The sequence below is a fragment of the Homo sapiens genome, chromosome 13, assembly GCF_000001405.40.
Source record: "Homo sapiens chromosome 13, GRCh38.p14 Primary Assembly".
In the NCBI taxonomy this organism is placed as follows: domain Eukaryota; kingdom Metazoa; phylum Chordata; class Mammalia; order Primates; family Hominidae; genus Homo; species Homo sapiens.
The window spans coordinates 35,497,704-35,523,917 of NC_000013.11; the positions used below are offsets into that span (position 1 = coordinate 35,497,704).

Genomic DNA, 26,214 nt, shown 5'->3' on the forward strand with positions numbered 1-26,214 from the left:
TTTTAATGATAGGCAAATGAGGAATCAACTCTTACAGGTGTCTGGGAGATTTCAGACTATGTATTTATAATCTTATTTAATATTATATAACCAAATATTTTTATGCCTTTCCACTAATTTTCTACCAAATGCTTAAAGAGAGTCTATTTAGAATAAAAACCACTTGAATGGATTATTTATATTAAGAGCTTACTAAACATTCTTTGTAATATTGGCTATTATTTTTTACCTTGAATGTGTTGCTTAAATTTGGACTTTTTCTCAAACACTATTGGTATTTTAGTGGCAAAATTATTTAATGGTAGATGTTTAACATTGGAGATCTTAGCATGTATTGATTTGCACAAAAATTCTATTCTTTAAAGGTCATATGTACCAAATTTCATAAAGGAAATGCATTGGAGATGCTTAGTAGACATTTTCTTAGGCACTAAGTATTACTTGCTTATAAGGATATTTTACTGTTTATGTATAGGTTAAATACTTCACTTGTAATGTCCATCTTGTAAAGAAAGTCCTCTCTGTGTTGAAAATCTCTCATTGCTAATCTTGTTTTTTTATATGTCCAGTAAGAGTTACCAATATATCTTTCATGAGCTATGGCAAATCATTGATAATTACTGTTCAATTTATTCCTCCCTAGGCAAATGGGTTCCTTTGTAGTACCTAGGACAAGGGATCCACAGGCAGGAGTCCTCTGGCATTGATGACTGATGGAATAAGCCATAGTGACACATAGCTACTATACCACATGAGAGCATCATGATTTGTTTATTTTAGAACTGGTTGTAGCAATATTAGAGGATGAAATGATTTTCTTAAAGCACTAGGAGAGTGGGGACTACATCATCAGGATAACTTAAAGAAAAGCTGCTCAAAAACAAAGTGTCCCAGTCTCTTCAATAAATTGTATTCTCTCCTTGACTATTTAATTTATGCAAATGCACAATGAAAATATTTTTGCTTCATATCTGAATCTTCATAAGAAAATGTATATTTAAAAATAATAAAATCATATTTTTCAGTTATCTACATTAAATCTTTTATTCATGTTATAGTTTAATTACATGATATCTGTCTTCACCAATGGAAATGTAATGTGCTAAATGCTCCATTAATTTTTTCCCCTTATACCTTATGCTCAGTTATGCCTGGTACAAACGACATATACTTTTCTGATATTATTGATGAGGTGTTCATGACCTTTCTGTTGAGATTTGTGTGGTGGTGCTGTTTAAAGAAAGAGTACTTAGTGGAATTTGTGTGACCACACCAGGCAATTGAAGAATAGGTATTATTTCTGGCCTTGGTTCTATAACCCAAGTTAATTATAATCACTTTAAGAAGAAAACAGTCTTGCTATAGCAAGCTGTTTTGGGTTTTCTTTTTCTAAATGAGAGAAAATTGATGTGATGCTTTTTACATTGCATTTTACAGCAAAGCATAAGATCTGTTTACCTGGTTGAAATTCAAATTGTTTTATTATGGTGTCAATTCTTTGGTTTTGGCAGCACTTCTAAAGTGTCTATTCACAAAAAGACTCCCATAGTGAATGAATGCTAGTGTTGACACCACCTAACAAGCAGGGATTATGTGTTTACAGAAGAAGTAATATGATAGGTCAAGTATAAGAGGCACTTCTCAAGAGCACTTCAGCACATAATGAGTGACTGACTAGAAAGTGCGGAGCTGCCACTCTTTGGCTTGGAGTCCGTGTTGATGCCTGCCTCTCTTCTCCAAAGCTCTCTTGATCATGTTCAGCTGCTCTGTTCTCATGTGGGGAATAATAGTAGAGTAAAGCTGCTTTTCTGTCTCATTTTTCTTGCTAATTTACACATTCAAGCCATTTTTTGTTTGCTACCCTTATTTGCTATTCCCTTTTGTCCAGGCACTGTTCTCTTTTTTGCCTCAGGCCTAAGAACTAATTTGAGCTTCTATAATTACTTCATGTTTTACACCTGTCTGCGTATCATGCACCCGCTTGTCTCTGTACTTAAGCTGTATATTTCCTTGCAGAAAAGCTAGTTTTCATATACAAGGACTCCTAAGTTTCTCCCCTCAGACTGCCTACAGAAGAAACACAATTAAACTGTTGCGATATCCTCAGCCATGCAGCTGACCTTTGCAGTTCATGAAGGACAAATGAACGCTGTCTGCTCAGACAGTTTGTGTTAAGACATTGTTGAGCAGAGAGCCTGAGCTTTGTTCCTCATGAATGAAGCAATGGTTGTAGTCATTTTAAAATCATTAAGACTCTGAATGCACAGTCTCATTCTACAGTGTTTGCTCTACAGCTGCTCTTCTGCTTTAATAGCAGCTTATTAAATTTGGGTCAAGCGTACTCTGAAGAGTATCACAATGAAGAAACTGTTCTAAAAGTTACCTGTTTAAAAAAAGGCAATTGATTAGATTTTTAACTTAAGTGACAGCTGCAATTCATTGCCTATTCTTTGTGATGTCCTGCAGCCCAAGCAGCCTTTTGTAATTTGGGCTTCATTTTGCAAGAGCTTTCCTGAACAATCCAGGGTTGCTTTCCACTCGGAGCCTGCTTCAATCCAATTAGGAGTTTAACAAGGGTCAAATTAAAGAGACTTTACACTTCATGTTTGCATCATTAGCCATAAGACTGTTATGTGAGTGCATGACTGTGTGTCAGGGAAGAGGGGGAAAGGCTGCAGGATGGGACAGACACAAAGCTGTCATCCACCGTGTGGTGTGCTCCTTTACTGATGGAGGCTCAGCAGGCTAGCAACAACATTTCCAGTTGTCTTTTGGGGTTGCTGCCTTGTCAAATCAGCTGGTATATAGTTGTTTGGAGGTTACAGGTGCTAGCTGGGGCTGATAAAGAAGAGTGTTTTTTGCCTACTCTTTTCTCTTCTGGTAGTCTGTTGTGATTGGACAAACGACTGGGAAGACATGAAGTTGAAACCTCTTGAGCATTCATTATTTTTGATGAGATGACAACTATCTAGGTTCATGTTCTCACTCCTCGTGCTCTTTCCTGGCTCTTCTTTTTTTTTTTTTTTTGAAAACATAATTGTTGGTTCTGTAAAATATTATCATAGGAAATGGAAACTAATTTTTAGGAGAATAGTTAGAGGCTTTGCAAAGACCAGTTACCTGTTATTCAGGAAAACAGAGTTCACTATAGTATTTTCAGAATTGTGTTACGTAGAATAGCATTTTGCTCCACTTTGTCCATACCATCAAGATATATTTATATTTAGCCATATTATGTTACTGTTTAAAGAAAATGACCTGTTTCTAAAAAGAAGAGACAATAGAATTCTGCTAATCAGCAGTTCCATGCGTGGGATATCGCTAGAGAACTGTTGCTGTGCCCCTTGAGCAAAGCTTTGTGCTGCTACACACAAAGTAAAGATTTATCTAAAATAACACTTTCATTGTTCCTTTCTTACCTCCTCAACCCATTAATAGGTACTTTAGTATCATGAGAGTTTTCATAGTTTAATCCCCTTTCAAAAGCTTTTCAGAATAAAAGCTCTAAATGGTCCTCAGTATTAATTTGATGTGACTTCTGTACAATATGGTTTAAAACTCTCAGAAGCACATTTTTACTGCTTACCCTTTTTCATCAGAGCAACGTGTGGAAAATACCAGCTAAATGTTTAGTGGAGTCTCTATTGTGAGCCACTGTTGTTGCTTTCTGATAACATAGATTTTCAATTAAAAAATTATTGTCATTGTGATATATATGACTGTTAATCCTCAAGAATATTTGGGCTCTCCATTTTTAAAAATGTAAATGTCTTCTTGTTATTTTTCAAAGCTGTAGTTTTATAAAGTCTCTGATTTGCAAAGAATTGAGAGTGAGTAATAAAGTCAGCCTGGTAAATAGTAATCAGGCTTGATTATATGCACTCAGTTACATCTTTGTTTATATGTAGACCACAGTAGCTTCAAACACAAGAGCTTCCAGCACTAATAAATAACCTACCTCACCTTTTTTATGTGATGCTTTTGAATACACATTTATCTTTCTTAAAACAGTTAATATATGGTAAATGTAATTCTTGCTGTCTGTAAAGCATTTGATGATGGAACTATACATTCCATGCCAAGTTCCATTTCCTCGACTCCTCCTGCAACTGCAAAGCCTCCAATATGACGGGGGCGGGGAACCCCTATTAATCCTTTTAAATTCCAGATCCCCTCTCTGATTTTTTTCCACATTGTCAGAGGGGATGTATGTATGTGTGTGTGCATACATGTGTATATACACACGTGAACATCCTTCCACAGAGAAAAAGGTATTTATTTCTAAAAATATTTTTGAAGCACCTGCTAGTGCTAGGGACTGAGCCAGTGAAACAGCAGAGAGAGCTCAAACAATACCACCTTGCCTGCCGGGGCTTTAGTGGAGTGGAGAGATGGACAGAAATCACAGGAAACAATGTAAACTTACGACTGTGAATGTGCTCTTATTGGGGAATGTGATCTGGTCAGCAAGTTCAGAGACAGTTTTCCTAAGCAAGTGACCTTAGGCTAACCTTTTGAAAACATCATGCTATAAAAAATTTTTGTTTATTTTCTTTCCAAAGAACTGAAAATATTTCTGCATATGCTTCGAACTCAACAAATTTACAAACATAATGAAATTTGTGCTGGTAATATATTAGGTAAAAGAACATGTAGAAAAGGGCATCTGGAAGGAGATATAAATAATTATAATTTCTAAGGAAAGTTTTAGGCTCAGTTTTAAGTTACATTTATGGACAGGAATGAGCAAGTGACTTCTAAAACTATTCCTTTTTCTTCATTATATTTTCCCTGGGTTTTTTTTTTTCTTTTCTTTCTTCCACAAAGTTTTTTCCATGATTTATCTGCTTACCGTGTGGAAGCAGATTGGAATCTTCCACTAGTGAATGAACAGTGTGCTGGGACCAGATCCTCTGGGGGTTTGTGGGTCTGTACATTCAGTGACCTCACTATGGTAGCTTGAAATCTGCTTATGACAGTAGGATCTATACAACAGAAATTGGTAAACCCTGCAAATTCTCCTCCCCTCCCTGCACCAGCTTGTTTAGCAGCACATCCGTGCTTATGTCTGATACAGTACGTGGGATTTGGGCCTGCAAATAGATTTGGGAAAAAGAGTCCATAACACAGCTTCCCTCCATAGCTCCAAAGGAGCTATAAATGGAAACTAGAAAGCTTAAAATCAAGTTTTGGATTTTTTTTATTAATTAAGTTTTATGAGTTTTAAAATTTAGCCAATTATATCATTTATCTTTTAAGATAATAGCCACAACTCCTCCCCATGGATTAAGTGATGATTACTTTTTTAAATGATTGTCTTTTGCATGTAAATGTTTACTAGTTTCCAGTGTAATCACAGGCAATATAAATTCGAAGGTATATTTTTAAACTGCACACTAATGACCTTTATCAATCAGTCTTTATTTTTTTCCTTATAATGAATTAAATGTTGTTGTGCTTTCAAAACCAATGTACTCATTGGTTTTTTCTAATATAAAAGTAATACTTGCTAAATACTTAAATATTATAGTGTAGTCAATATATAATAGTATAAAAAATAAAATTAAAATTACTGATAATCAAACAGCCCAGAGATAAGAATTTAAAATACTATACATTTTCAATGTATCTGTCTACATATAGGTAGATATATAATTTTTATAGATCATAGTATAAAGATTATTTTGTAACCCACATTATTCACACAAAAATATAATATGAACATATTTCTATATCAATAAGTATTGATCTACATTATTTCTTTTAGTAGCTACATAACAGTTCATTGTATGAATACCATATATTAATAATAACTAATCACCTACAGGTAAACATTTTTTGATATTTTCTCTATTTTAAATACTGTATAATTTTGTAAATACTCTTTTGTATACTTGTTCATTTACCAGGATACATTTCTTAAGGTAGCATTGCTGGTATTGAGAATTCATGGTTTGTTTCATTTTGTTTTTGAGGCATCTATACAAATTGCTTCCAAATTTCCCTTCAGAAATTTTGTACTAATATGTAAAATAGCATATTGGATTATTTATGTTATTGCTCCTTTGTCAATATAGGTATTATTATTCTTATTTATTTTTGTTAACCTGATTAACTGATCATCACACTGGTTTTAAAGAATCTAATTTTAAAACTATTTCTTCGTGCTCTATAGCTTGTAAGCTTAAAATTGACTTCAGTATATTAAATGTTATTGTATTATTTTTCAATTTTGATTATTCCCTAAGAGAAAGGAACAAATACATGATTTGAAGTGTGCAAAATTTATGTAAAAATATGAGAATACAGTTTTACATGAAAGACCTGATAAAATATATATTATGCTATCTAGGAAGAGAAGCAATTATGAATATTCATTTACAGTTGGATATTTGAGATATTTCACATTCTTCACATCCATTCATGAGTGAATATTTGTTTTAGAGGAAACATTTTGGATTTTAAAACCAGAATGTGGAGTATCCCTTTGTAGAATGTTGCCAGCTAATTGAAGTTACAAACAACAAAACAACCAAAAACACTGCAATCCAAGCAAAGCGTATCTGAAGCAAAATTTGGCCTAAAGCCTGCCAGTTTACAAACTCTGCGTTTTGTGGCTTTCTTCCTATGTAATATAATACACATCTAACCAGTTCTTAACTAAAACTGTTTCTCTTCCTTTCCCTGAAACCTTAGTAACACCTACCTGTTTAGATTGAGCATGCCCAACTTGGAGGCTGCCACAGTTGAGACCGTTTTGTCTCATCTCACACCCATCCCACTTCACTCTTGGACTTCACTTGACTTTATCTGCAGTTGCTGTTTTTGAGTATGTAAAGATAAAAGATAAAAATCTTTTCATTTACTTATTTTTCTTTTTTTCTGATATTGTTAATATTTAAGTATTTTATATTGTAGGTAGGAGGGAACTTTTTTTTTCCTCTTTTGATACACGGTCTCACTCTGTTGCTCAAGCTAGAGTGCACTGGCACAATTATGGCTCACTGTAGCCTTGACCTCCTGGGATCAATCATAGCTGGGATTATAGGCGTGCCCCCATGCCAGGCTAATTTTCTTATTTTTTTGTAGAGACAGAGGTCTTACTATGTTGTCCAGGCTAGTCTCGAACTCCTGGGCTCACCAAACAGTCCTCCCCGCTTGGCCTCCCAAAGTGCTGGGATTACAGGCGTGAGCCACTGTACCCAGCCAATATGTTTTTCATGTTTAAATGCAATGTTGCTTATTTTTTGGTATAAAATAAAAATGCTACGATTATCGGAACCTCATTTGTATCTCAGTAAATTACTGGCTTGTATTAATTTACTGCTTAAAGTAAATATTATAAAATATATATTATTTTAAAGAATGTGGGCAGAAATCAGAATTCAAAATAACATTTTTAAAAGAGGCTATGCCATTAGCATACATACTGAGATATGCATTTATTTAAAACATACCTATACTTGTTTGGAATCATGCTTACTATGTTCATATGAATCCAACATTGAGGTAAAAACTGGCTTTTTAAAAAAAATTAGTTGACAATAGACATATAGAGTTTGAGTTTAGACCTATAAATAGCTAACTATTATTTCAATGATACGTATTTGGCCTTTGACCTTTGTTGCTTAAAGACTAGCTCACGATGCTCCGCAGTTAATGTAAAACTTAGTTAAACCATGGCGACCTATTCCGGAGTATGAGAATTGGAAGTGAGAAATGGAAGTAAGAATTCTGAACTGGGAGTGTAATCAGCTGTCACTGTTTAAATAGTCCAGTTTTATTATTTCTCCTTCAACTCTTCATTTTTTCATGTAATGAGCGTAAATACGGACTTTTTAACTGTTATATTAGGGATACATCTATGCCTAAGCTGAAGCCTGAAGCTATATTTTAAATTTGTGATTCCATCTTAGAAGGAATAACCAGAGTACAATTTTGAAGAAATAGGTTAAAAATGCATTCCCTTAATAACTACAGTTTTCTCCTCGAAAAGGTTAATGTAGTAAAATAAATACTATGAGAGGTATCCATGAGTTTTAATATCTGGAAATCTTTTGTGTGTGGGACATTTTAAAAGTTCTTTGTGTTTTAATGAATATTCAATTAATTGATTTTAAATTAATTAGATTTAAAGACAGAAAGCATTCTACTTTAGTCTGCATGTTCAACTTACAGATTTGATTTTACTCATAAATATTTTGCATATAAAAACACCATTTACTTTCAATTAATCTTCAATTCAAATTTAAATAACTGATAGGTTTGAGAAATCAAATTCCTTTAATCACTTAACACCAGATCCATACTAATTCATCAGATTCTCTTATATATTTCCAACTTCATCTATTAAATTTATTTATTTATTTTATTTTTTGAGACATGTTCTCACTCTGTCACCTGAGCTGGAGTGTGGTGGCACGATCTTAGCTTACTGCAGCCTTAAACTCCTGGGCACAAGTGATCCTCCAGCCTCAGCCTTCAGAGTAGCTGGGACTACAGGCACGTGCCAGCACACTCAGCTAATATATATATATTTTATTTTTGTAGAGAATAGGTCTGGCTTTGTTGCCCAGGCTAGTCTTGAACTCGTGGCCTCAAGTGATCCTCGTGCCTTGGCCTCTCATAGAACTGAGATTACAAGCGTGAGCCACCTCAACCAGACCCATCCATTAAATGTATAAATCTGATTTGTTACTATTTACGGCAGTAGTTTAAATACTTAGAATTTTTTTTTTAGGTTTATAAGTCTGCCTTATGTTTTTTAAGTGTTTGAGAAATCAAATGTATTGATTCAGCAAGAGTAATTTGAAATTCTTACAAAGAACTGTGATAGCAAAATGCTATAGTTAAAACAGCCCAGGGGTCAGGTGGGTTCGTGTTCTGTCCGTCCCTCACTCATTCCCAACAACACAGTCAAAAGATAAATCCTAAGTAAATTACCCCACAAATTTTTGAGTTAGAATTTGTGATAAATTATTTCATTGCAATTTTTCAAAATAAATAAAGCCTCAACATGATTTGTCACAAGTCATAGAGCCAGTTAGAAGAACTCAACCTAGGGCTCGTTTGATTCCTAGGTCCATGTTCTTAACTCCAAACCATTTCTCAAATTATAGAACCATTGCCATAGAGTTTGAAGGTATTTTCTAAGTCATCTGGTCTAATTCTACATTATAGGACTCCTTTCTTGAACATCCCTTTTAATATCCATCCATTTTGAATGTTTATAGCAATAAGGACCTCCTGTTAATTTTTCCCCTTCTGGCTACTGTCCCCCTTGTCCCCCTTAAAGCTATCTCCAATGACTTCTTTCTTTCTTTGTCTTAAAACCACTTAACATAGGCTTTGCTTCCAACACTTCTCTGAAAATGCTTTTGTTAAGGTCACCAATGACCTCCCTTTTACAAAATCCATAGGCCAATCTCTATTCTATTTACATAATTTATCATACCCTCATCCTGAATTGAAACTGACCTTCCCTTCCAGGATGCCCTACTCCTGTTCTACCTCACTCGCTTCTCCTTTTCAGTCTTCTTTGCCAAAATTCTCTCCTTTTCTTCAACCACCTAATGTTGGAGTGTCCCAAAGCTCAGTTCTTGGACCTTTTTTTTTCTTTTTACAATTACTCTCCTGGTAATCTTATGGCTTAAATATCCTCCATATACTGAAAACTCCAAAATTTCTATTTCTAGCCTGACTCTCTTTCTTGAACTTCAGGCTCTTATATTCAAATGCCTACCTGGCATTTCTGCTTGAGAGTCCAATAGATAAACCAAACTTACTTTGTCTAGTTTTGAACTCCTATTTTCTTTTCCACTGCCCTTCCCAATTCCCAAAATATTGCTGTACCTACAGTCTTTCTTATCACAGTTCCTTTCAGCTCTTTCAATCCAGTTGTTCGAGCCAAAACCTTGGAGTTAATTTGACTTCTCTCTTTCTCTCACACCCAACATATACAGTCTCTTAGCAAGTCACATTATCTCTACTTCAAAATATATCCAGAATTTAACTTGTCACCATCTCCATGGCTACCATGTAGATAAGCCTCTTCTGGGTATTCTTTAATTTTGAATGCACCCCGTACAATGAAATACTCAGAAATGGCCTGATTGAACGTGTTGCAATGGAATTGCTCTATCCCTTTTCCATCATCATAATTCATTCTAGGATTGTAAGGATCATTTTAGTAGTCATGTCATGGTGTTGACTGGAGTCAACCAAAGTTCCAGTATTTCTTTTATATTAATTGCTGCTAGATAGGTATCACCATCTAAAATAATTAAGTGACTATCACTTGTGGAGCACCTACATATGCAACTTTGTTTCATTATTACCCTTAAAGATAGGAATTATTATCTCAATTGGTAGATGAAGAAATAGAGACTCAGAAAAGCTAAGTAATTTGCTTAAGATCACAGGGCTAGAAATTGGTAGAAACGGTAGTAGAATCCAGACCTGTTTCACTTTAAAGCCAATCCTTGGACCATCACATATGAAGGGCTGCAGATGAGAAAGAACATGATACACTCAAGGATTTGAAAAACATGCAATATATTGGGAAAGTATAAGGGACAGAATGCTGGCAAGAATCAGACCAGAGAGGGAAGTGCTCAGTTTTGAGGGATATTATAAGCCATATTTGAGGAGTTTACATTTTACTGACAAACATTGGGAAGGTACTATTAAGGTATTTCAAGCAGATTTACTTTTCTAATTAATGATTACTCTAATGTTAGCATGAAGAATGAATTGGATGACAACAATGCTGAGTTTTAATGGCCTAAACTAGAGTAGTAGCAGTGAAAAAAACAGAAATTGATAGATCAGGTGGATTTCAGGAGTAAAGTGGATAACATTTGTGAACTGACTGGATGTGGGAGGTGAGAGAGAGGATGACTGCCAGGTTTCTGGCTGAGTGGTTGATAACATTCATTCAGAATGACCATTGGAGGAAAGGAAGGTAGTGCTGGAATGGGTATAGGAGATGTGATAACTTTACTTTTGGAAATAGTAAAAGGAATCTAGGAGACATTTCAGTGGTAATACCCAGATGACATCTGATCTAGGATCTAGGGGAGTGGAGGTCTCAGCTGCAGGTAAATCTGTGAGGTAAATCTGTGAGACATCAGAACATGGGTGGTAACTGAAGTCACAGAACTGGATGAGTTGAATGGCGGATTGTTTGGAGATTCCATGGCTAAACTGGGGCTCCAATATCAGAGTGTCTAGCAATCATGCCCTAATGGGAAAGGAAGGGGAGCTGGACATGAGTGTCTACTGTGTGCCTTTCAATGGATATGCCTTTTACCTGCAGATGGCCTGATGCCTTATTGTCCAGCCCTGACCAGGAGTCCCTCCCATGGGTAACTGTTTATAATGGCGGATGCCATTGTGTCTCTTGTCTGACCTGTGTCTGGCGTATGCCTGCCTGACCGTGGCTATGGTTCTGCAAACCCAACCTTGTGGTTCCCCCTTGCATCCTAGGGAAAAGCCAGCTGGTAGCTGGCTGGTAGCTGGTTCTTCTAATGAAAGGCACAAATTCGATACACCGCCACAACAGGAAATAAGTTCAGAAAGCTGTTACTTATAGATCCTGGGCAGGGAAGGCACCATGAGTCAGGAGGGAAGTTCTCTGTCCCAGGTCATGTGAGGCAGGTGTGTAGAGTCAGAGAGAGAGAGAGAGAGAGTGAGCGAGTGAGTGCTTGCATGGAAACTAGCAGTATATGTAAGGGAATGGGGGCAGGAGAGTCACTTTAAGTTCGTGGGCAAATGTATGAATGGTCCATTTGAAGGAAATGGCAAAAAAGCTAAGAGCCCAGTCTGCTAGGCCAGAGAGAGGCCTCTAAGTTTTTGTATTTGGCCACCGGCTTAAGCCATTTGTGGTGTTCTACTTCTAGTACCTAGGCAGCAACCTTTGCTGTGTTGTTTCCATTACAAAGATGCCAGTCTTTTAAAGATAGGAAGGAGTTGTTTGCAAATGGCATTTAAAGAATAGATAGAGAGTTAGTGGGAAAAAATTAGGAGAGTGGTAGTGGAAGTCAAGAAAAGCGTTTCAAGAAGGATGGACTGACCGGCGAACAGTGCCAAATCTGAAGGGGTCAGCTAGATAGGGACTGAAAATAGCCATTGAATTGAATAAGGCGACAGTCACTATGAAAAGGGTTGTTTCAGCAGATTGTCAAGGGCTTAAGGATATTAAGTATTTTTCATTTTTCAAGCTAAAAGGGGAGCTCATTTCAGTTTATTAAATTTCATCTTGCAGACTTCAAGCTAACTTCTACTTCATGATTTTGAATGTCAATAGATCTGATCTGAATATGAAATTCTGAGGAAGATTTTTCCTTATAGCCACTAACTGTTTATTAATTATTCTCAACATACTTTTGAAAACATTTGAAATGGGTTTGTATCAGAGGTGACTCCAGAATTTCTGTGTAGAGGAGATTAAGACTGTGAGCGTTTGAATGGAGAATTGAAAGAACAATCCATGGAACTTGTGTGTTTCCATGGCCTATATTACAAATCAAGAAAAACAGTGAGGTGTTCTAGAGAGGTTTTTATTCACAACTTAAATAAGTTTAAGGAAGGACACATGCAGCCTCATACAACCGCTCTTTCTTCTGTCATTCTTGACATAGTTTTGCATTTTTGTAGCATCCATGACATGAAAATAATATTAAATACCTTAGTGTCCATTTATATTTTGACTTAATTTTTCAGCTCTGTTGTTCTGACCTATCTGGGTAAAAGTAATCTGCCTTGTGTTGTAAGTGTTAACACTAAGGGCCTGCCATGCACCAGCCACCTCGCTGGGATGTGTGAGGATGATGTTTAGATAGTTCTTGCACCAGATTTTTTACCGTATTACACGTTACTGTCTGTTTTTTGACTCAGAAAAATAAAATCAACTTGCAAAGGAATAAAAAAGAAGGAAGAAAGGGAAAGCAAGGTGGGAAAGAAGGTAAAAGAGGGAAGAAGGAAGTATTTACTGAGCATCTGACTAGGTACCAAACATTATGCTAGAAACTTTCATGTATAGTATCTCATTTAGTCCTTACAATTTTGTTAGGCACTCATTTTACAGTGGAGAAAACTAGAGTTTGAGAAAGTCCAGTAAGATTTATTAACTTATCTAAAAGCTATGTAGGAAGTAAGAAATAAAGCTGAGATCTTATTAATGTCCAGAATGCTTGCCACCACACATCATGCCATCTTACCTGGAAAATTCATTTTCCTCATTTTAATATTTTAGTCCTATTATGACTTCTTAATGGATTTTCAGATAACATAATAATAAGTAGAAAACATGAAAATAATAAAATATGGTGGATTATAAGTACATCATTCAAGTTTGCTATTGAAGGAAATGTATGTTTCTTTTAAAATAATGTGATCCATTTAAATATCAGCAATCCCAAGTAAAAACTCAAATAAATACTCAAGTAAAAGCTTGGGCTATTCCTGAAAATCATTGTTAGTTTTGAGATATATTTATTCACATAGTCAGCCTGCAATTGTCAAGCAATATAGCACAGGAAGCATTGTTCAAGTTGCTGTGGAATACCTATTTTATTCTCTGCTTACAATGACTGGACTTTAAAGAATTTTTAACCACATAAGGACTTTTAAAATAATGTATTTATTGGTGATTATCAATATATAACAGTATGTTGCATATATAACATACAACTCAGAACACGTAAGTACTTTAAAGTTGACTTAAACCTACAATGAAATATTAAGTACAGAACCTATTACAGATTTTTCGAGCAAGGAACCCATTTGACAAAGAAAGAAAAAATAATCACTAGCATAATTATTACTGGATTTGTTATCCACACATCCAGTATCTCTCAACCCTCATCAGGTGTTGATTGCAATGTATATTTTTACTCTAAAGTATTCTATGCAAGTAGATATCTCTCTATATATGCAGTTAGCAAAGATAGTCAAATATACTGCTATTAGTAAGGCAGCATTACACTGTATCATATTACCTATGTTAATACACTCTTCAAAGAAGTTATATAATGTTTTAATTTTTTAACTTCTACAAATATTTTTTAAATTATCCCATATCTTGTTATTTGTAATATAAGAAGTTAGGTATTGTGTATTGTTAATATAGCAGTTACCTCATTTATTTACCTGAGAGTACTGTTTGCAAATAATTAGGAGAATGACAAAAAAGTATGGTTGGAAATTGTATTATCTGTCAGTACCTCTACTGAAAGTTGTTTTTAATGTCCAGTGGAGATGTTTTGATATTTATAATTGACTCTACTTTGTTTGCTTAAAGTATGTTTTGACTAAGCTATGCAGTGACTATTTGAAGATAGATATTCTATTCAGGAATTTTTAAAACCTCAATGTCTAAAAGAACTCATCAAACTCACCCGTCTTGAACTGTCAGTGAAAGCACATGCTTTTAATTTCTAACACACATTAGTTGTGTTTGCACTACAGGTACACAACAGGAAGTAAAATCGTGAACCCATAGCTTCCCAGTATCAATTAAAATCTTGGCTGCATGAAACAGTATTTTTTGAGGATTACCTGATGGTTGAAGGGTTCATTCATTCCTAAATATTCTGTATCCTGGGATTAAACCTGAATAGCAGAAACTGTCAACCTGGACTTTCATGTTGGCCCCTGTTCTGGTTAAAATCTTTGGTTGCATGGAATAGGCTTCATTCAAGTTACCTCAAGCAATAGATGCTATAGGTATATATGGTCTGGAATTTAAAAATGGAATAGCTGAGTCAGCTTTAGGGACCAACTGCTCTGTTTGTCTTTCATAAACCATTTGGTCTGCTAATCTCTGAGCGTTCTTTTCTTCTTCTCAACAGATAATCTTCCTGTGCTTACTCAAACAGCTTTGGTTCCTTGTACTTTCAGCTTGCCTGAGTCTTATCTTGGCTCCCTGGCCTCTCAGTACATTGTGATATTTCAGCTTCAGTTCCTACTGCCACACAGTTCTTTCTGCATTTCCTTTTTCTAGCTCTCTACAGAAAGAATCTGACTCATTCTACTCCTATTTTTTAGTCAGGCCAAACCACGGACTATTGGCAAACCTCTGGATTAGCTGTCGTTGATTCAGCCTAGAGGAGGTACCTTGCGGTCCTCATAGGTCGACCTCCTTCCACAAAAACTGTGGCTGAGCCCATTTCTCTCAGAAGGCAGCTGCAGGCTGTCTTGTACTACCTCATGGTAGGATTGATTTTTCTAAGTTGTGCTTTGGGAAATATTGTAAGCCTTGAAACTCAGTGTAAGGTTATTGTTGAAGACATTATTGATTATACTATACAGGTTTTTTTAAAACTCTTGGCATAAATTTATTTCTAGCTTTAGTATTAGGAAATAATTGTGCAATTATTCCTGAACTCGTTTGTTTTTATCTTCATTACCTTTGTGGTGAAATTATTACTTTTTTCTTTTTTTTTTTTTTAAGATGGAGTCTTGCTCTGTCACCCAGGCTGGAATGCAGTGGCGCAACCTCGGCTCGCTGCAACCTCCACCTCCCAGGTTCAAGCGATTCTCCTGCCTCAGCCTCCCGAGTAGCTGGAATTACAGGCGCCTGCCACCACACCTGGCAATTTTTTTTTTTTTTTTTTTTTTTTTTTTAGTAGAGATGGGGTTTCACCATGTTGGCCAGGCTGGTTTTGAACTCCTGGCCTCAAGGGATCCACCTGCCTCAGCCTCTCAAAGTGCTAGGATTACAGGCATGAGCCACCGTGCCTGGCCTATTACTTCTTTTTCAACATTGCCTGTTGGGAGTTCACAAATTTGTGCCCCAAACACAGGAAGTTTAAATGATTCTGTGGTATGCTTTTTTAGTCTTATTATCCAACTTACACCTGAATTCATTTTCTGTTTTTCACCTTTTTTTAAATATATTTCTAATTTGAATTATAATTTATATATTCCTGTAAGTCACTTTATATCTTTTCAGAAGTGAGGTATAGATGTAAAGTATATAAATTATAACACATTCAGGAACATGTTCATGTTTCCAGCTAGTTTTTAGTTAAATGTGAGCAAATTTTAAAGAAATGGACAAAGTATTGGAAAATAATAGTATGTGACATTTTTCTGTATTTAAGTAATTTTAAATCATCCAGCTACTTTTTTAAAAAAACCTAAAATTCCCATTGGGTTTAGAACTATCTTTCAAATATAATTTGAGATTAGAAAATCTATTTTATTACACATTAATCATTTTTTGTCATAACTATTTGTAACATATTCTTTGTCATGGAGAAGGTAGTAGAAGTGTAATAAAATTAATATACATTTTAAATTATTTCTACATAAACCCGTTTCTAAAACAGCAGCCTCTAGCCCTCCAACAATAACATACTCCTAAAATTATTTTTCCCCAGACTCTACTTCTTGGCTACTCCTTTAGAAAAAAAAAAAAGAAACTGACATCAATTTTATATAAAAGAAGCCCTTGAGGTGGAAAGTTGGGAAGACTGCATGAGTTTATAGCGGACAAAATGTCGCTTACATTTTGCTGCTCAGTAGTTTGATATACTCATTTGCTGATGTGAAATGACGAGGGCTTACAAAACAGGGTTTTGTTTTTTAGCTGCCTGTAGACCTAGTGGGGCCTAACAGAACCCAGTCAGCAGGTCATTAACTCTGGAGAAAACAGCTTGCATTAATATGCTCTAATCCGGTATAATTAGTCAAATTACTGCACGCCGACCAGCTTGTCATGTGTTGTCAGACTTGGCATGTACGCTGGGTTGCCTGGGTCCCTCTGGAATGCCACCCTCAATCAGAAAAAACTGCTCATTTGTAGTGGGTCTTGAACTCTTGATGCAAAAGCCTACTAAAATAGTGGTCATAGAGGAATTTTTATTAATTTTTGAGAAAAAAATATTTTCATCAAAAATAATTTAGTACTTTGGTGATTGAAATGGAATCTGTTCATTTTTGCTGTTTTCTGTACCATATCTATGTAATACTCCAAGAAAAATTAACATTAGTGCAAACAAAAAAGAGGTCGAAAATAAATAATTACCGGTTGATCATTTATCATTCCAATATATGGCAGTGTGCATTTGTAGGTGTTTGTGTATGTGTGGGTCTTTTTCCAGTAGGGTAAGAGGTTATTAAACTCTAAAAGGGCTACATTAGCATAAATTTACAAGAGCTCTTGTTCTGGCGGCATGACAAAAACCTGTGTTACCTTTGCATTAACACTGAATTGCTTGTTGTGCTTTTGGCAATGACAGATAAGTCCGTGTAATTCCCCATTGCAACAGAAATGATGCTCCAGATTCCAAACGCATCCTGAAGATGTCACTGACAATAATCTTCAAAGAACGGGCAGTGAAAGTGGGCTGTATGTTTGTAGGATGATATACTGCAAATGACAGGAAGAATTATGTGAGTGAAGACGAATCTGTAACATATTATTAAGCAATTTCACGAGAATAACAGGGATAAAAGGATAATGGATGAGGGTGTCATTATTACCTTCATGTAGAGGGAAAGCAAAAGCAAAGGTAGAGAGACAAGATTAATTGAGGAAGGGTGAAGCATTCATTGCTCATCAGCTCTTTTGTACTCTTTGCTCCTGAAATTCCAGACTGAGGAGGGGAAAAGGTGCTCAGAGCTGCATTTTAATGCATCTGGCAAAGAGTAGGATACTGACAAGGCACTTTTTAGCCACCTCCCTTTTTATCAAAATACACATAATGACTGTTACCTTTTGAATGTTCCAAAATCACAGCAAAAATTCAGCAGAAGGTTTTATTCTTTGTGTATATATGTATGTGTGTTTGGCAGCTTTGATTATTAATTAAGCTTTTAAAACCCAAAATTATAAAATACCAAAATGGTTTTTTCCATGCATTGCCAAAAAATTGCTATTTTCAATTTAGAGAATCACGTTCTGTGATGAAACATTTCAAAATCCATTATATTATTATTTTGATTAGTCTGAGGACATTGTGTTAAAAAGGCAATATATTTTATAAGCAGTTTTTACTCTCCATTTTCTAAGTACATTTCCCTTTCATGTAGTAACTGGTTTTTTTTTTTTAAATTTAAATATATTTTCTCTTTGTTAAATGAAGGGTGTGAGTAATTAAAAGCTTAAAATACTAAATTCTCCATTTATATCTTTTTTAATTACCTGTTTCTTATAACTTCTCATTGGGCCAATTACTCCAAAGCACATATTATATCACACACAATAAGATGCAATTATAACATAGCAACCACTATCCTTCTGGTTGCAGAATGGTGGTAACACAGGTGTTTTGCTGTAATCTAAGAAACCTTTTGGGGCATGAAATCCCTTCTGATTATAATTTACTCATGATACGGAGTTAACCTTAAACATTGTAGAAACTTTAAATTATATATATGTTTCTGTGTGCTGGACTAGTAGAAAAATAAAATGATCATATTACAAGCTTAAATATGTATCCAATGGAGATACTCACTCAAAGATTAATTTGGGAACAAGAAGCCTACATTTCATCCTTGTCTACATAGCAAGTTCCTATATTCAGGAAAGGTAACAAAGGATTAAGATTCAGGAGTCAGTCAGAATTGAGACCCATGCAAGGCTGATAGCCAGATAATAATCAAGAGTGTAATGTGTATCATACACAGACATGCATAGCAGTAATGCTATTAAATGCTACACGTATATACCATCTAGTAATGCTATATTTTATTGCATACTGTCTCTCTGTATGCCTATAATGTTTTATCCTTGTCATTTTCTGATTAGCAGAACTAGAATTTCCATTTTAGTTCTATAAATGGGAAATTTGAGGAGCAGAAAATTAAATGAGTCTACCCAGGTAATTTTATAGTAAATGATGCTTCTAAGAATAAAACCATCTTCAGATACCTCATCCAATCTACATTCCATTTGCTGTTTGATTTTTTAATTTGTTATTCATGCCACATTCTGTTTTTTGATATTTTGCTAGTTTTGATATGTGTCTTTTAAATTATCTTAAATGTTTCTTCACTAAAGGAGCATCCTCTGCCTTATCTTTTCTGTAGAGTAAGGGAAAAGAAACTAACATTTCCCAAGTACTTAATATGTGTCAGACACTGTTCTAGGCACTTTGTATATATTATCTAACTTAACATAGTTATAATAGCTAAGTGAGTTAGATATCATTATCACTGTTTTACAAAGGACAAGCAAATTCAGAGATGTCCAGTTATTTCTCCAAGCTCACAACTGGGAAGTGTTAGGGATTCAAATCTAAATTTTCCTGGTTCCAAAGATCATGTTCTTTCAATTACTACATACTCACTTACTCTTGTCTATCCTATATCTTAACATATACAGTCAAAATTATACTGTCTTTTTACATCTATCCCATGTTTTAGATCTCCAAATGTCTGTATTCAGTGGCCTTTTTCTGCCCACATATTCCTTGATTTCTGCATAACATTTGACACTGAGCTTCCGAAATCCTAAACATGCTTCCTTGCCAAGTCCTCCGCTCCCCTTCCCTGGCCACTCTTCCGTCGGCCTCGCCCTCAATATTCTCCCATCCCCAAAGGTATGTCCTTTCAGTCACCTCCATTCTCTGCCATAGAGATCTAATTCCTTTTCGTGCTTTAAACTTTCACTGTGTACAGATAATCCCAAAGGTACTTCTCTAGTCTTGTCTTCCTTCTACAGCTCTATATTCTTAGCTGCCTGCTCTGTTGATTAGCTCTTAGTATGCTTTGATTATCTCAACCAAGCTCATAATTTTCCTTTTTTCTAATTTCCTTTTAACTTCCCAATTTTAAAAGATGTCGTGATTCTAATCACCCAGGCCTTATTGCCCATTTGAATTACTTAGAAATTCTTTAGCTCAGCATCAGAAGCCTCTCCCACCTCTTTAGCCTATTGGAGTTTATCTCCCATCTCCATCTTTGGCAGATCAACCATCCTTCAAGGCCCATTATCAGATATCATCTTTAGTAAGAGGCTCGCCCCAAACCAATCAAACGTGTGTATTTCTCACATCTTTGAATCTCCAATCAATTTGTACCTTCTACTATATATTTTATTGTAGTTTGTCTTTTATTATTTCTATAGTTGTCTACTCACTTCCTTAGACAGTAAACATCTTGAAGGCAGGAACCATTGTATCTTATACACATAGTACTTGGAATAACCTTACAAGATACTTAATAAATATTTGTTGAATTGAGTTAAATAAAATTATCTGACAGTCTCAATCAAGTATTTTTAAAATATTTTTTCTTTTACATGAAAAAGCCTTTACTATGTTGAAATTTAATATTAACCTTTTGATTATTTGACACTCTTGAATGTATTTTCTTTCCTAATTTACATTTATACATTGCAATTTATTATCATAATAGTTACCATTTAATGAGCATGTACTTCCCTTGGTACTTTGTTAATTCCGGATATATGGAGGTGAGCAAGTCCCTACCTTCATGAAGGTCACTATTTCCTTGAGAAGATACTGCTCTTTTCATATGACATTTCATACCAACAGTCCTTTGTAGTTATATGTATGATATATGGAAAAAATTAAAAAGAGAAATTAGAGCACTTTATTATATATTTAGATATATCTTAATCTTAATTATATTAAATCCTTATAACAACTATAAAATGTAGGTACTATTTATCCCCATTTAACAAATATGGAAGCAGACTCTGAGAGTCAAAGGTACTTTTTCCAAATCACAAAAGCAGTAAAATGGCAGAGCCGGAAATGGAATTAAAGATGGTTTAAAGCCAAAGTCTGTGGTTTTCCACTGTGCCACATGGCTCTGCATATCCTTGTCTTAGCAAAGAGATGTTACATGACAGGAGCTCTTAACTGTAACTCCTGTATTTGCCTCAAACTAGAGGAGGCAGGGAACATTAGTCATAATTATGCCAGACGATGGTTAGAATGGTATTACTTGTTAAACTTAGGGAAAGCATACCCCCTGCAGTTTTATAAAAGGAAGGAAAATATCTTTCTACTTTTGTGCAAAATGCCCAATCAGGTTGAGCACACATGGTTGCCCTACTTGCTAGCAGCAGTCACAAGATCCCAATTATTGATATAATTTGGGTCAGAGAGAATGTTTTCTGCATCCTACCGAGCTTTGATTTGGGGCGGTGTGGGGGGAAGGTTGCAGGATACCTCATAGAGGCTGACACTTTCCACTGCATGTGCTGCTGTGCAGATGATTATAAGAGAGCAATTCTTCATTCACCATAAGTCCAAATCAAACGTAGAACATGACAAATAGAATTAGTTCCTCTCTTCCCTTTGCATTAAGCAAATTTGATGCTTCGTTGTGAAAGGAAAAAGCAAGCAAACATCAACAGATTGACTAATACAATTCTACTTAGCCTTTCAAGCAATCTCTCAGACTGCCTCTTATGCCTACGTGTCTCTTTATTTATTCTTTTCTTCTTGTTTTTTAACTCCAAACTTCCTTTATCAAGACTTCTTTTGTCTTCCTTTCCTGTAAGCTGTTTTTAAATGTATTCTTTGTTTTGGGGAAAAGTAAAAATTTTCTGTTGGTTTCACATTACCCAAATTTCAAAATTCTAGTCCACATACTCATACAAAAAAATGATACTCCTAAGTTTTAGATAAGTTAGGATTTCTTTATTCAATTTCTTGCATCTATTAGATGATTCTAATTTTATGTTTCAACTTATAAACTTTTAAAGGTGGGATCATACAAGTCCCTTTCATTGACCTTATTACTACCCATCATGGTGACATACCCAAATGTTCATATACTAGTGCTTTTGATTATAAAGATTTTCTTTTTATTTTCAGATTTTCTAGGCATTCATGAAATATTAGTTTCATTTATTTTTTAACATAGTTTTGGCCTTGTAAATAGCATTCAGTGTAATGTAGACATGAATATTTCTTACAGAAGAAATGAAGAGTATAATTCATTTATTTTTTTTAAATTTTAAAGGGATACATAATAATTATGCCTATTTATGGGGTACATGTGATATTTTGATACATGTATACAATGTGTAATGATCAAATCTGAATAACTGGGATATTACCTGAAGCATTTATCATTTCTTGTATTGGGAACATTTTGAATATTCTACCTATTTTGAAATATACAATACATTGTTATTAACTATAGTTACTCTGCTGTGCTATTGAACACTAGAACTTATTCCTTCTATCTAACTGTATGTTTGTACCCATTAACCAAACTCTCTTTATCCCCACACCTCCTTCCCATCCTCTGGTAACTATTACTCTACTTTCTTCTTCTTTACAGCAGTCCCCAACCTTTTTGGCACCAGGGATGGGTTTCATGGAAGATCATTCTTCCATGGACCCAGGGCATGGGTGGGGATGGTTTCAGGATGAAACTGTTCCACCTCAGCTCATCAAGTATTAGATTTTCATAAAGAGCATCCAACCTAGATCCCTCACATGCGCAGTTCACAACAGGGTTTGCGCCTGCTGGCCCATGGCTCACCTCCTGCTGTAAAGCCCAGTACCAGCCCATGGCCTGGAGGTTGGGGACTCTTGCTCTATAAGATCAACTGTTGTATATTTGTCTTTCTGTGACTGGATTTGAAGAGCATAATTTAACCTGGTGATTTGATTAGGTAGAAGCCAAGCCTAAGGTGCCTACTATCCTAGTATCACTATAGTCACCATGTATAATAATACTTCAGTTAAAAAATGCCTTGAGATAAGGCAACCATGTCTCTTCCTATACCAGCGAGATTCTAACATTTCCTCTCATTAGCACTGAGAAAGTTTTTATAGGATAAGGGACTGGAGAGAGGTTGAGAAGGAAGATGTGCCAGTGCTGATGCTAGCGAGGAAAAGGTTAGAGTATCCAGGGTTACAGGAGCATGGTGCCAAGGACGTCATGCCACAGAAACTCTGAGGGACACCAACCAAGTGACCAGTGATCTCTCTCTCTTTTTTCCAACTAGCTTCAGGAATTGATTCCCCTATTTCTCTCTTCCAGTACTATTATAGATTACTTTCACCCAGGGTTTCTTTTCCTTTTGACCTCAAAGAGGAAAAGAACACAGTCTTCTGGCGTCTCACAACTGTCCTCTCCCTTTAGCCCTCAGACTCCTTTAAACTTCTATTGGAAAATTCTAAGTCTTTATATCACTTCATTTTGAGAGCTTCTTCTTGAAACTTATGTATGACATACTATAAATGAAACTTTTTTCGGACATATCTTTACTGATGAGGAAAATTTTTCATTGAGGAAAAAATCTTTTATTCCCTCACATGCCTTCTTTGTCCATAGAGAAGAAAATTCCACTCAAGCTTTTGTTGTTCTTCCCATGGGAAGGAAATTTCTGCTCTCATTTTCCAGAGCATTTTCATTGCTGGGTGTTGGAGGCCTTGTTTTGGTTTCAAATCACACTGAATTGATCAAGTCTTCCCAGGATAACCTTGCAATAAGGGAGGATAATATTAGATATTAATTTTATTAATATTTATGAATAATTACTATTTAATATTATAGTCATTACTATTAATTTTTATGAAAAGTTCCTAGTTTTACATCTGGTTATTGTTCCCCTGATGTACATTTCCTTAGTCAAAAACCCTGCAGGAAAAGGCAAAATGCGATAGGCTTTAAGCAGCAAAATTTCACCCACAGGTTCTAATTCTGATTCCATTATTATTACAAGTATGAATATTCAGGAATCATTTGGTTGCAAGAAATAGAACTCAAACTAGCTTAATGTAAAAGATCATTTATTTTAAGCAATAGGAGTAGCTCATGAAATCCCATGACAAGAACAGGCAGAACCTGAGGAGAGACTGGAACTGAGGATTGGAAAGCCATTTGTCTGGATGTCTCCCCTTCTGGGCCACGTGGTTCTTTGTCTCTGCTTCTGCTTCATCGTTGTTTCTCCTCACAGATAAGATGTCCCTGGATCTCCCCGCTAGAAACCCAAAAGTCACTGCAGGGACATTACAGAGACTGCAATTCACTGCTGCTCCATTACCAACTAAAGTTCCACTTTCAAATTCCAAGGAGAGGGAATTTGGTTGGTTTGCCTCGGCAACAAATGTTCACCCTGGTCTAAATCAGCTCTGGTCAGAAAGAAGTAGGGACACACCTCTGAGAGTATGGGAAAGCTTTTTTGAGAAAGGGGGCATGGTTGGTACATACATTCCAAAAAGTCTCTCCCCTTTAACTATTTTGGTTCCTCCTTTCCTCAGTATACTATTCAGAAAGAAGAATGCGCAACCCAGTTTGGAGAAAGATAGGAAGATTCTTAAATATGAACCCATCAACAGGGAGTCAGACAGAGAGGAGCAGGACATTCCATACAGATAGAAGGAACAGTGAGTGCAAAAGTACAGAGAGGCGAACCACTTCTGAGAACAGCAGGGATTCAAGGGGATGTAGAGCAGTGGTATGAGGGGAACCCAGAGATGGATGCTGATACTCAGCAGCAGCATTTGCTATAGGATGCTGGGGGTGGTTGGCTGGGCACGGTGGCTCATGCCTGTAATCCCAGCAGTTTGGGAGGCCAAAGAGGGTGGATCACCTGAGGATCACCTGAGGTCAGGAGATCGAGACCAGCCTGGCCAATATGATGAAACCCTGTCTCTACTAAAAATACAAAAATTAGCCAGGTATGGTGGCGCATGCCTGTAATCCCAGCTACTTGGGCAGCTGAGGCAGGAGAATCACTTGAACCCGGGAGGCAGAGGTTGGAGTGAGCCAAGATCACACCACTGCACTCCACACTCCAGCCTGGGCAACAAAGCAAGATACCATCTCCAAAAAAAAAAAAAAAAAAAAAAAAAAAAAAATGGATGCTGGGGATGGGAGTCAGAGTCTGGAGGCAGGGGCATTGGTAAGGGTTGCCGGAGGTTAGAAAACCACTAAGATGGGGTCCCCACCCTCCCCTGCGACGGTACCAGTCTATGGCCTTTTAGGAACCAGGGCACCCAGCAGGAGGTGAGCAGCAGGCAAGGAAGCACTGCTGCCTGAGCTCCACCTCCTGTCAGATCAGCGGCAGCATGAGATTCTCATAGGATCGTGAACCCTATTGTGAACTGTGCATTGGAGGGATCTAGGGTGCACACTCCCTATGAGAATCTAATGCCTGATGATCCGAGGTGGAACAGTTTAATCCCCAGACCACCCCACCCCCTCACCCCCTGGTCCGTGAAAGATTGTCTTCCGTGGAACGGGTTCCTGGTGCCAGAAAGGTTGAGGACTGCTGCTAAGAGACTTACACAGCTTTATCAGTGAAAATAAAAAGAACAGATGTGAGAAATACTGTGGAGCTGGAATCAACAGGATTAGCCACCAGTTGGACGTAGAAAGGAAATGACAAGAATATTTACAGATGAGTCCCAAATGTTTAGTTTGATGGCTTTATGAATAGTGTTGCCATCCACTAAGATAATGACAAAAACTTACTATTATTATAGTGACCACCCTTTCTGAGTACCCATTATATACAAAATACTGTGCCAGAAACCTTTCCATCCACTATTTAATCACTCTATTGTCCCCATGATTGATATTATTTTCACTGTTTTATATATAAGAAATGAAAGTCTTCAAGAATTTAGGTATGTTGCCTACATTCATGTAACTCAAGGTACAGAGTTAATTCTCATGCCCATTTCTGACATCAGAACCACCGTGCACTTGGGTTTGTTTTTCTTAAGAAAGAAGAACAGATTTTAAGGAAAATAGAAGTTCAGTTTGGACTTACTACATTGTGTTTCCTGTGAGACATTCAGCTGGAGAGGTCTAGTGGACATTTGACTATGGGTCTGCAACTTATGAGCAGTCTGGGCTGGACCCTTCGATTTGAGAGACAGCAGCTTAAAGTGGGAATTATGAGAGTGGCAGAAATCACTCAGGAGGAGGAAGCTGCCCAATGAGTTACTATGTAAAGCATACGCCTGCCTCTCCTGGGGGTTGTTTGACATCATAAATACACTGACATACAATTTTTCAAGGCATTCACTTTCAATTTTAGGAATCCCTTCTATATCAGTTATTATAGCCCTGCTTTTTAGATTTGTACTTTTTCTCTCTCTTTTCAAAAATATTTGCCAGGGATTTGTCTTTTCTGAGAACCAGTTTTTAGACTTCTTAAATTTTCACTTTTAAATTTTCTAATGATTTTTCTATTTATTTTAGCTATATTTCCCTCTGCTTTTTTCCTTTGATTTTTTTTCTGCTTTTTTAAGATTTAAATTG

General features: G+C 36.1%; 1 protein-coding gene across 15 annotated transcripts in view, besides 1 other annotated feature; it reads left to right on the forward strand.

The window, feature by feature from the left end:
• NBEA (neurobeachin) overlaps positions 1-26,214 on the forward strand; it is a 730,467-nt gene that overhangs the window by 555,434 nt on the left and 148,819 nt on the right. The gene's annotated exons all lie outside the window — the stretch shown is intronic.
• Positions 1,074-4,132: an enhancer, noted in NCBI's record as "VISTA enhancer hs1333". NCBI's record gives its function as "enhancer in: midbrain (mesencephalon)[7/11] | nose[6/11]" and the evidence as "EXISTENCE:transgenic organism evidence [ECO:0001131][PMID:17130149]".